This window comes from Homo sapiens, chromosome 1, assembly GCF_000001405.40.
Source record: "Homo sapiens chromosome 1, GRCh38.p14 Primary Assembly".
In the NCBI taxonomy this organism is placed as follows: Eukaryota; Metazoa; Chordata; class Mammalia; order Primates; family Hominidae; genus Homo; species Homo sapiens.
Window position 1 is genome coordinate 65,002,492 of NC_000001.11, and position 12,735 is coordinate 65,015,226.

At 42.5% G+C, this 12,735-nt stretch overlaps 1 protein-coding gene across 4 annotated transcripts in view, besides 2 other annotated features; it reads right to left on the reverse strand.

Annotated features, from left to right (window-relative positions):
- Positions 1–80: an enhancer, noted in NCBI's record as "active region_1140". NCBI's record gives its function as "activates an Ori minimal core promoter by ATAC-STARR-seq in GM12878 lymphoblastoid cells {active_cell/tissue: GM12878}" and the evidence as "EXISTENCE:reporter gene assay evidence [ECO:0000049][PMID:35858748]".
- The window catches only part of JAK1 (Janus kinase 1), a 234,518-nt gene that overhangs the window by 169,263 nt on the left and 52,520 nt on the right, over positions 1–12,735 (reverse strand). The window lies entirely within an intron of this gene.
- Positions 211–350: a silencer, noted in NCBI's record as "silent region_960". NCBI's record gives its function as "represses an Ori minimal core promoter by ATAC-STARR-seq in GM12878 lymphoblastoid cells {active_cell/tissue: GM12878}" and the evidence as "EXISTENCE:reporter gene assay evidence [ECO:0000049][PMID:35858748]".

Genomic DNA, 12,735 nt, shown 5'->3' on the forward strand with positions numbered 1-12,735 from the left:
ACGCTAATTATAGTATGTACATCACAAGGATAGTGACATAAGTGATGACTGTGACCAAACTTGGATCACCAAGCCTGCACCCAGGGAGCGCTCAGTAACGCAGCGCTGAGGAGTAGGCCACCCCGGAGGGCTCCAGGTTTCAGCGCAGGCTTCCGCGGAGCCAGCTGGATGCGTCACCATCCGAAAGTGCGAGCCTGGCCGGCGGCGGCGGAGGCGGGGGCACCGCGCAGTTGGAAGCCCGGGCGCTCTTACCGAAAGCGCGAGCCCGGACTTCCCCGCCACGATCGATGTGGCCAGTCTGCGCCTGCCGCAGTTCCCGCTCGCACCCCGGCCCCTCGCAGAGTCCCAGGAAAGCGCTGTGGCGGGCGGGCAGTCTCTGCCCCCGGGAGGGGACGCACGCACGCGCTGCTCCTTCCAGGTCCCGGCGGGGAAGCGATGCTTTCTTGGCCCGGGCTTGGGGCCAGCGGGAACCGGGCTGTCCGGCCGCGCCGTCGCGCCTCGCACGGCGTGAGACAACCTAGCTTTTTTTTTTTTTTTTTTTTTAAGAAAAGCATTGGCACCGCAGCAGCCTCCCCCGCTTCTTCCCTACTAGGACGCCCGCCTGACTCGCCCCATTGCACAATTCTTACCGTGGAACAGCCGCGTGACTCGGCGGGAGCCCAAAAGTTTCCCAGGTTTCCTCAGCCTAGAAAAGCGTGGGTGGGTGTCCCGGCCTGGCTCCAGGCGCCCTTTAAGTTGTATTTCTTCGGGTAACTGGGTTGCCCTTTAAAATGTGGAGATTGTCCTTTAGAAAGAAAGAAAATCTCACGAGCTCGCTGGCCCGCCAGGTCTAGGTTGGCGCCGGGTGACTGCAATGAAACGCGTTTCTTTTCCCATGTACATTTTCAGACGGTAAAAGTGTTTCGATTTGTTTGGGGGAGAAGTCAGGCGCTGGTTTTAAAGGAGGAAGGGGAATGATGCTTAAAAGCAGAGACACGATTTGGAGCTCTCCAAGAATCATAGTGTTTATTAACAATGATTGTGCTTAGTAGACACTGAGAAAATATCGAACGAATGAGTATTTGGAGGAGGGATTTAAATGGGTGTCTATAGGCCAACGCTTTCATTCTGCTGATGAGAAAACCTAGAGGTTAAGTGATTTGCCCAAAGTCACCTAGCTAATTAATGTGGAAGGCAGGAATGGAATCTGTCTCGTTTTGACTCCAAATTCTTGTTATGAGATGGGTGCGTTTTCCCCTCTTTATGAAAAAAAAAAATGCCTTCTGTAGTAATCTCTGTAAAGCCTTACTCCACTCCCTCTGTCTACGCATCTAAAGCAAACATACAAAACAAAAAAGAAAACAGCAATCCCCAAATGCAATCCATGCACTCAAATAGGCTAAATTTGGCAATGCCAAAACAATATATTAACAAGGCATTTTAGTTCTTATTCCTATAAATAACACTTTTTTGTTTTGTTTTGTTTTTTGAGACGTATTCTCGCTCTGTCGCCCAGGCTGGAGTGCAGCGGCGCGATCTCAGCTCATGGCAACCTCTGCCTCCTGGGATCAACTGACTCTCCTGCCTCAGCCTCCCGAGTAGCTGGGATTACAAGTGTGCACCACCATGCCTGGCTAATTTTTGTATTTTAGTAGAGACGGGGTTTCACCATGTTGGCCAGGCTGGTTTCAAATTCCTGACCTCAGGTGATCCACCCGCCTCAGCCTCCCAAAGTGCTGGGATTACAGGAATAAGCCAACCTGCCTAGCCAATAGTACTTTCTTATTCACACAAAATATGTGAAGAAAAGGAGGAAGAGGAGGAGGAGGAAAAACAGAATAAGCAAAACAGTGCTTCTCCAAGATGATATGGAAAATACCAAGCTCCCACTAACCTTACTTTTGTAAGTAAGGTGTTTGGTGCTCTGCATAGAAACTGCTGGACTCGTGAGTGACCATCAGGGTTGATCTAAGATTGTCAGTTATTTCACTCAGGCTTTGACTGGATTTGTTGCTCATCTTTCAGAATAGACAGATGCAATCTGTGCAAACACAAGGGACTTCAATGACAATCTTGCAAATAGCTAGACAGCTTTTGTCTTTGACGTTTCTAGGCTGACCAACTATACCAAATGTCTGATTTAGGAACCAAAATTGCAAAACAAGTAGATGTGAAGATCAAAGGAATCAAGACTATAAGTAGGGATTATGACTAAAAATTCTTTTACGTGTTGTCTGTGGTGTTTCCACAATAATAATTACAATGTGGTTATAATAATATAATCCAAGTACAACTTCTTATCCAGGAAGAAGCTGGGACTTCCAGTGATGAGCAGACCAGAAGACCAAATTGTGAAATGTCTCATTTCAGCCAAATACCTTCTGAAATGGAGACAATTCTCATATTTCACTCTGCTATCTTCACTACCCTTTATTTCTGATATCGTGAAGGTGGGGATGTATACTAATGTCTAAAAATTTTTGAAATTCTAAGAGGCTAAATAGAATCTGCTAATTTTAGTTTGATAATCCACAATATTCCTGAAATCAAAGCATCATCTCCTATATTTTTCCCATACTGTGATTTCTAGTTTGTCATTATACCAGGCTACTGAATCTGAACTCAAGAAACAAACAAACAAACAAAAAGCATTTTATCAAACGAAAACTGTAAGACCAGCCTGGCCAACATGATGAAGCCCCATCTCTACTAAAAATACAAAAATTAGCAGGGCATGGTGGCACGCACCTGTAATCCCAGCTACTGGGGAGGCTGAGGCAGAAGAATCACTTGAACCCAGGAGGTGGAGGTTGCAGTAAGCCGAGATCACGCCATTGCTCTCTAGCTTGGGCAACAAGAGCAAAACGCCATCTCAAAAAAAAAAAAAAGTGAATTTTCTGTGGTTATTAGAGGCTGGGAAGGGTAGTGGGAGGGGAAGATGATGAGAGGTTACATAACAAATACAAATTTACAGCTGGATGAAAGGAATAAGTTCTAGTGTTCTATAGCACTATAGGGTGCATACGGGTAACAATAATTTAATGTATTTTTTTCCAAGAAGCTAGAAGAGAGAATTTTGAATGTTCACAACACAAATAAATGATATACTTTCAAGGTGATGGATATGCTAATTACCCAGATTTGATCATTGCACATTGTACACATGTACTGAAATATCATTGTATCCAATAAATATGTACTATGTCAACTAGAAATAAGAGGGAAAATCAATTAATTCTTTAAAAATATGTGAGTTATCTCCAATTGACCTATAGATTTGATTGCAATTCCAATTAAAATCCCAGCAGACTTTTTGATGGAACTTGACAACTTAATTATAAAATGTATATGGAAGTGCAAAGGGCCAAAATTAGCCAAGATGGTCTTGCAGAAGAATAAGTTATAATAAGATGATCTTGCAGAAGAATAAGTTGCCATTCCAGATATTAAAATTTTAAAAGTCATAATAATTAAGATAAATATAATTTGTGAACTCTCATGCTCAGACACCAGTCACACCCATTTTAGGACATCTCACAATTAAATGTTTCACTAACCTTGATGTCTACACTAATATAGAAGTAAACAATAAATATGGGCTTTCTAAGCAAGAGAGATTTTATCTCTTCACATAAGTGTGAAGAAATAATATAGAAGTATCTGTTCCTTATAATGGAGAGTTGAGTTTGGTAAACTCAAATTGTATTTGGTAAACTAATTGATGAATCTCTTAAGGTTTTTTGAATAGTTCACTATGTCATAAACTTAGCTTTCCCATCCACACAGACTGAAATATTTTACCAGACAGTATCTGAATTTGAAAATATCTTTAGGTCTAGGTGATTTGCTTCATGGCTTTTCTTTAATTAAAACGGCTTCTATTGTTTCTTCTTTTTTATTTTTTAAAGATGTGGTCTTACTCTTTTGCCCAGGCTGGAGTGCAGTGGTACTCTCATAGCTTACTGTAACCTTGAGCTCCTGGGTTCAAGGGATCGTCCTGCCTCAGCCTCCTGAGTAGGTAGGACTACAGGTGCTTGCCACAATGCATGGCTAATTCGTTTATTTTTTGTAGAGATGGGGTCTTGCTGTGTTGAACACCTGGCCTCAAATAATCCTCCTGTCTTGGCCTCCCAAAGCACTGGGATTACAGGTATAAACCACCACACCCAACCCAGTTTCCATTCTTAAAGGGGAACTCATATATCTGATTTCATATTTCCCTTTCTCAAACAGGGGTCTTATTTTGTTGTTTCAGTAGCAGGTACTTACCATATTAGCTGAACCTGTAGATTCACTGAATTACGCCTTGTATATAAAATATTTTATCTTCATAATATTTACGTTGATTCATCCAGACATTATTAAATAGTAATGCACTCAATTTAATAAGCTAAGTAAGTTTTGTCATCTGCCTTAAAAAGTTCCATCTAAGATGATTAACATTTTTAAAAGGAAAAAAATGTTAATCCTTATCTTATCTACAGTTCCTGTTTGCCCAGTAATGTCAGATAATCATGATTTTGAAACAAAGTGATGAAAATGAGTAGTTTAAGTTCCAACTGAGTGGACCTAATAGCCAAGCAAACAAGTTTAGCTTGGGGCTTGGGTGGTCAAGGAAGCCTTCACAGATCAAAAGTAACTGGATAAGCGCTTAAAGGAAGACACAATCAGACTCACTTTTATGAATGTAAATAGGACAAAGACAGCTTCAGGAAGCCCAGTATCTGACAGAACCCAAGGCAGGCCTGTAGGTGGGTTCCCGAAAGGAAGAAGATCCGGGTGCCATACTGGAGAAATATCCAGACTTGGTCTCTTGTCTTCTCTCTGTAGGTCTGTCTTATTCTTGTTCTTTGTCAGGCAACTTTGGCTGTGTGTCTGGATCCCATGGATCAGATAACCACCACATCACTCCTGTGGTGACCCGAGTCTGGTCACCTGGAGAGAGGCTGACCCCTACTCTTATTTCTTTCTTTGTTGTTTTTTGTTTTGTTTTGTTTTGTTTTTTGAGATGGAGTTTCATGCTCTTGTTGCCCAGGCTGGAGTGCAATGGTGCAATCTCAGCTCACCGCAACCTCCACCTCCCATGTTCAAGCAATTCTCTTGCCTCAGCCTCCCAAGTAGCTGGGACTACAGGCGCATGCCACCACGCCCAGCTAATTTTTCTGTATTTTTAGTAGAGACAGGGTTTCTCCATGTTGGTCAGGCTAGTCTCGAACTCCTGACCTCAGGTGATCCGCCCACCTCGGCCTCCTAAAGTGCTGGGATTATAGGTATGTTTTTTTTTTTTCTTTCTGATACAGCGTTTTGCTCTGTCGTCCAGGCTGAAGTGCAACAGCATGATCTTGGCTCACTGCAACCTCCACCTCCTGGGTTCAAGTGATTCTCCTGCCTCAGCCTCCTGAGTAAGTGGGGCTACAGGTGCACACCACCACACTCAGCTAATTTTTGTATTTTTAGTAGAGACAGGTTTTACCATGTTGTACAGGCTGGTCTCGAACTCCTGACCTCAGGTGATCCGCCTGCCTTGGCCTCCCAAAGTGTTGGGATTACAGGTGTAAGCCACCATGCCTGGCCTCTTATTTCTTATTTCTAAGTTCCCAGGGAATTTAGATTGTGATTAGCACAGCTTGAGTTTGGTGACAACCCCTGATCCAACCAATTGGGATTAGGGTAGAAATCCAGGAAGCCACCCGTATGGGATGGACAGACCACCCAATGATCACCCAGTACGGAAGTGTAGGAGAGAAAAGCCCAGGGGAGCAGGAAAGCAAGGAGAAAAGCCCGGGCAAAAGCCTGAAGGCAGAAATGTGTATGGTGTGTCCTAGTAACATTGAGTAGGGCAATTTGCAGCTTGATACATATGGAATTTATGCAAAAGTACTAAGAGATTAAATTGGAGAAATAGTTTGAGGTCACATTAGAGAAATTCCTGAATGTCAAACTAAAAGGTTTAAATTTTCTATGAACTTCTTTTTTTTTCTTTAAGAGACAGAGTCTCACTGTGTTTCTCAGGGTGGTCTTAAAATCCTGGCCTCAAGTGATCCTCCCACTATGGCCTCCCAAAGTTTGAAATTACAGGCATGAGCCAGCATGCCCCACTGACTTTTCCTTACAGCTGTACAGGTTCATATAATAAGTCCTGCTCCCCTTCCCCTTCCCCTTCCCCTTCCCCTTCGCCTTCCTCTTCCCCTTTCCCTTCCCCTTCTCCTTCTCTTTCTCCTTCTCCTTCTTTTTTATGACAGGGTCTCACTCAGTTGCCCTGGCTGGAGTGCAGTGGCATGATCACAGCTCATTGCAGCCTCAACCTGCCTGGGCTCAAGTAATCCTCCCAACTCAGCCTCTCAAGTAGCTGGGGCTACAGGTGCATGCCACATGCCTGGCTAATTTTTAAATTTTTTGTAGAGACAGGGGTCTCCCTATGTTGCCCAGGCCGGTCTCAAACTCCTGGGCTCAAGCAAACCTGTCTTGGCCTCTAGAAGTGCTGGGATTTCAGGCGTGAGCCACTGCACATGGCCCTTGTAACAAGTCTTAATTGAAAATATATTCACAAAGTCTTTGAAGGTTAGGAAATATATTTAAATGCTTATGTTCACTACACAGTTGTTTATAATAAAATGTTAGAAACAACCGGAATGTCCACCGACAGAAGAATGGTTAAAGCATCTATGGTATAGCCATCCTATAGAATTTAATATTAAATTAAATTAAAAGGAATGATGTAAAGCTATAATCACTAAGATGAAAAGATCTGTTAATTACAGAAAAAATCAAGTAGAATGATATGCATAGTTTGATTCCATTTATGTTAAAATATTTCAAAAATGCATAGCTTTTAAATAGGCAGAAACATTTCTAAAAAAACATTCATGAAACTGCTAAAGTGGTTTCCTCTGGGGAAGGAAGTGGAATTGATGAGCAGGTGGGGGTGGAGGTAAAGAGTGACATTTACATTTTATGACATATGTTACATGCTTAAAAAGAAAAAAGTACAAATGTATCATTAAAAATTAAATTACATCGGGAAACTTACTGGAAATGAAAAATAATTAAATTAGGAAGAAAGTTAATTCCATTTTCAATAAGACAGGGAAAAGGACATGTACCTAGTTTCAAAATTAGAATAATAATACTGCCATTTCTGAAGTGGCTTGCAGTTTACAATTAATAACTAACACCTGCTATGATCCAGACACATGTTTAGCCTTTTACATATGCTAACTCATTTAATTCTCACAAAGACCCTATCAGATAAATACTGTTATTCTCCCATCTTACTGATGAGGAAACTGAAGTACAGAGAGGAAGAGTTACTGGCCCATGGTCACATTGCCAGTAAGTGGCAGAGCTGGGATTCTGGCTCTTACATCTCAGGTCTTGATCCCCTTTGCTAAATTACACTTATGCAAAAGCATTTTTGTATTGACTCCTGTGCCCTCAAGCACCTACTGTCCCCCATGTCACATGAGAGAAAACTAGGAGCTCTATCTTAGTGTACTGCAATGGATTATTTTCATGTTCATGTACCCACTAGACTTTCGACTCCATCATGCAAGGAATCCCCATTTTGTTGCTGATATATCCTAGTTTTGTACTTTGGCACACAGGAAGTGGGCAATTTTGAATGCTGTGGTGGTTTAAATTGTCCACAAATTTTTTGGCACTCCCTTTAAGAGGAAGAGTCTAATTGCCCTCCCCTTGGGTATGGACTGGATTTAGTGACTCACTTCTAATGGATAGAATAAAGCAAAAGTGACATTGTGTGACTTCAGAGACTAAGACATACAAGGCACTGTGGCTTCCTGTTCTCTCTTATGCTTGCGCTCTCTCTCGCACGCTCATTCTCTCTCTCTCTCTCCCCCTTCCTCCATCCATCCTCCTGCCCTCAGAACACTTGCTCTGAGGGAAACCGGCTGCCACATCATGCAGAGAGGCCTATGTGTTGAGAAACTGAGGCCTCCAGCCAACAGCCAGCAAGAAACTAAAGCCTCCTGCTAATAGCCACGTGGGTGAGCTTGGAAGTTGATCCTCCGGCCTCAGTCATGCCTTCTGATGACTGCAGCCCAGCTTTCCTCTGGACTGTATCGTCCAGTTAAGCTCCTACCAAATGTATAACCTTTAGAAACTGTAAAATAATAACTGTTCATTGTTGGAAGTCACTAAACATTGGGGCAATTTGTTACATGGCAATAGATAACTAATACAAATATTCTTTATTTAAAAAAATAGGTGGCCAGGCATGGTGGCTTACACCTGTAATCCGAACATTCTGGGAGGCCAAAGCTTGAGGTTGGCAGTTTGAGACCAGCTGGGCAATATAGTGAGACCCTGTCTCTTAAAAAAAAGTAGTAAATAAACTAGCCAGCCGTGGTGGCATGCCTGTAGTCCTAGCTACTTGGGAGGCTGAGGTGGGAAGAAGCTATTCTCCCACTTCAAGGCCATCCAGCCACTTTGTGGCTGTAGTGAGCTATAATTGCACCACTGCACTCCAACCTGGGTAACAGAGACAGATCCTGTCTCTAAAATAATAATAATAGATATGTTTATATTCACAACTTGAATATTTATGAAACATATTAATGTGCTTTTTTCTTTTTCATTTTCATGTATATGATCTTTTCTTTAGTAGACCAAAAGCATTCATTTGCCTGGGGGCAGTGTGTGGAGGGTGGGATTAGAACTGTCAAAGCAAAAATTTTAAAAGGAAGAGTTAAAAATCAGCTTCTGGCTGGACACGGTGGCTTATGCCTGTAATCTCAGCACTTTAGCAGGCCGAGGCGGGAGGACTGCTTGAGCTCAGGAGTTTGAGACCAGCCTGAGCAACATCATGAGACTTCATCTCTACAAAAAATGGAAAAATAAGCTGGGTGTGGTAGTGCATGCCAATAGTCCCAGCTACTTGGGAGGCTGAGGCAGGAGGATCACTTGAGCCCGGAAGATCGAAGCTGTAGCAGCCTGGGTGGCAGAGCAACACCCTGTCTCAAAAAACAAACAAACAAACAACAACCAACAAAAAACAAAAAACCAGCTTCCGATATCCAAAATAGGACTTTTCATTGAAATAGTTACTTAGAAAGCCAGAAAAAAGGTGAGAAAATATATTTTCCAGATTCCTTTTACTACCACTGACATATCGAAGGTTATACCTGGTAAACTAGATCATAGTTTATTTTATAGTATAAGGAGACATATTTTTTCACCTGTGATGACTAGACCACTGAGCTTGCTGTCCCAGGATGGAGCAAGGGTAGGACATTGAGGAAGTAGAATGTCTGAACCTCTTCCTGTTCTAGTGGATGGCAGGGAGAAGAAGGGGAGTGGAGTTAGGAAAACTAGGTAATGAAAAGTTCTCTTGATCCCAGGAGTAAATCCCAGGGAAGGAAGGTGTTTCAGACTGATTGAAGGCTAAGGCCTGAGGGGCTTCTCTTCTGTTTCCCATTTGGGATTCCAGAAGGAAATCGCTAGTTAAGGTGAGTCAGCAGTACAATTGGGTAGGCCCAGAAGAGGAAAGAGAGCAAAATAGAGTAGTCAGGAAAAGAGGGCCCAGTTTGGGCGCCTGTTAGCTCCTGTGTGGTGTGAAAGGCACTCAGATGTTCCTGCATCTCTGATGGAAAACACAGAACCTGGCTCAGCTGAGAGACAACAGCTCTGTCATGGGGAGGTTGAAGTGACCCCACAGCAAAGTGGAGAGGAAGTTGTTGAACAGAAGCTGTGGCAGAGACTCAAAGAGGCCTATAATGCTGGTGAGAACTATGGTGGCCTGAGTCATCTGAGGTCTGAGGTCTGAGGTCCTGACCAAGTAGAGAAAAAGGACCATCCTAGGAAATACCCCAGCTACTAAGCAAAGATACCAACAGAAGACCATAAAGAGCACCCGTGAGGCCTTAGTGGACACCAGTCCAGGAGCCAGCCTAGGACAGCTCACCTCAGTCACCTGACTATGGAAACTGACAAACTAAGAATGTTAGATTGAAGATAGAGTATCAAATATTAAAATAATTATTAGAAATAAGATTAGAAGTATCAAAGTACTAATAAGACAGTAAGGAATTAGCAGGACAAAATCTAAGGTATACTGAGTACTGAAGCCACTTTTGCCCTGAGGACATTTGCCAATACAGCCAATTTGAGCCTCTATCTCCTAAGAAGGAAAGTACAAAAGAAAATTCACCAAATTAGCTAGGCATGATGGTGTGCACCTGTGGCCCCAGCTACTGGGGAGGCTGAGGCAGGAGAATCACTTGAACCCAGGGGTTCAAGGCTGCACTGAGCCATGTTTGCACCATACCACTGTACTCCAGCCTGAGTGACACAGTAAGACCCTGTCTCAAAAAAAAAAAAAAAGGCCAGGCACGGTGGCTCACACCTGTAATCCCAGCACTTGGGGAGGCCAAGGCAGGCGGATCACGAGGTCAGGAGATCAAGACCATCCTGGCTAACACGGTGAAACCCCATCTCTACTAAAAATACAAAACTGGTTTAGCTGGGCGTGGTGGCGAGCACCTGTAGTCCTAGCTACTCTGGAGGTTGAGGCAGGAGAATGGCGTGAACCTGGGAGGCGGAACTTGCAGTGAGCCAAGATCGTGCCACTGCACTCCAGCCTGGGTGACAGAGCAACACTCCGTCTCAAAAAAAAAAAAAAAAAAAGGCCGGTGCAGTGGCTCACACCTGTAATCCCAGCACTTTGGGAGGCTGAGGTGGGCAGATCACTTGAAGTCAGGAGTTTGAGACCAGCCTGGCCAACATGGTGAATCCCCATCTCTACTAAAAATATAAAAAATTAGCCGGGCGTGCTGGCATGCACCTGTAATCCCAGCTACTCAGGAGGTTGAGGCAGGAGAATCACATGAATCAGGAGGCGGAGGTTGCGGTGAGCCAAGATCATGCCACTGCACTCCAGCCTGGGCAACAGAGCAAGACTCTGTCTAAAAAAAAAAAAACAAAAAAAACAAAAACCGAAACAAAAAAAGAAAATCCATCAATGGAATTGGAATTCAAAGGCTACATTTTCCCCAAATTTCTACCCTAAAGGGACTGCTGCTGACCAGTACAATGAGGAAACAATTTCATCTCTGAAAATTTGTAATCACTTGCTGGCATTATTGAAGTTATAACCACAGGGTGGTCCAAAAGAATTCAAGCCACAAATTTCATTTAATTTGGTGCCATATTGATGACGTCCCTAGGAAGCAAAGGAACAAATACAAATCCATTTTGAGAAGTTACCCTCATCCTGGGCCTCAATGTATTTACACAAATAAGTTTTCAAGGTTAACAAGCAGTACTGGTAAAAAAAACAACTAAGCATACATAATAAGCATCACGTATGAGAGCTAGAAGAAATGAAAGAGTAGAAACAGAGTCAAAAAGATTTCAGATGCTGGAATTATCAGACACAGATTATAAAATTATGCCTACTATTGTTAAAGAAATAAAAGATGAGCTTGAAAATATCTTCAAGATACTGGAAACTACAAAAAGTGACCAACAAATTTTTAAGAACAATAAAATTAAACTTCTAGAAATAAAATTTACCATTACTGAGATTGAGAGCAAAACAAAAACCAACAGCTTAACAGCATATTACATACAACTGAAAAGAGAATTAGAGAACAAGAAGGTTGGGTCACAAGATTTTACAGAATGAAGCATAGAAATTTAAAGAAATACAATATATGAAAGAGAAATTAAAATTCATAGAAGATAGAGTGAGAAAGTCTAACATATATTTAATTAGAGCACTAGAAGACCAGAGATTATATGGCAGAAACAGTATTTGAAGAAATACTGGCCTAAACTTTTCCAGAACCTATTAATGAAATTAATTCACATACTCAAGAGGCCAAACAAATCCCAGGAAGAAAGGTGGGCAGGAGAGAAGGAGAAGAAGAAAAAGAACAAAGGAGGGAAGGAAAGGGAAAAAAGGAGGAAAAGGAAAGAAGGTAGAAAGAAAAGAAAGAAAGAGAGAATGGGAGGGAGGGAAAGGAAAGGAAAGAAAGGAGAAAAAGAAAGAAAAATTCTCACTCAAATTCATCACAATAAAACTAATGAACATCAAAGGAAAAAATTTGAGGTCAGGGAAAGTGTGGAGATCATTATCAAAGGAATGGCAGTGAGATGGACCACTAACTTCTCAGTAGCTGCAATGGAAGCCAAATGACAATACAATAACACACTCCATGGGTTGAAAGAAAATAATAAATAATCTATTATTCTATTCTTTTTTTTTTTTTTGGATATGGAGTCTCTCTCTGTCGCCCAGGCTGGAGTGCAGTGGCGCGACCTCGGCTCACTGCAAGCTCTGCCTCCCGGGTTCACGCCATTCTCCCGCCTCAGCCTCCCGAATAGCTGGGACTACAGGCGCCCGCCACCACGCCCGGCTAATTTTTTTGTACTTTTAGTAGAGACAGGGTTTCACCGTGTTAGCCAGGAAGGTCTCGATCTCCTGACCTCGTGATCCACCCGCCTCGGCCTCCCAAAGTGCTGGGATTACAGGCTTGAGCCACCGCGCCCGGCCCATATTATTCTATTCTTAGTGAAAAAAAATCTTTCAAGAATGAGGGCATAGTATTAATATGTACATTTCCAAAAACAAGTAGAAACACAGAGACTTTGCTATTATCCAGACCTTTGTACAAAGGAATTCAGAAGGGTGTCATTCTGGAAGAAAGAATGAGATCCTAGATGGATGCTCTGAGGTACAAGAAAGAATGAAGAGTAAAGAGAGTGGTAAATATATGAATAAATCTAAACAATGCA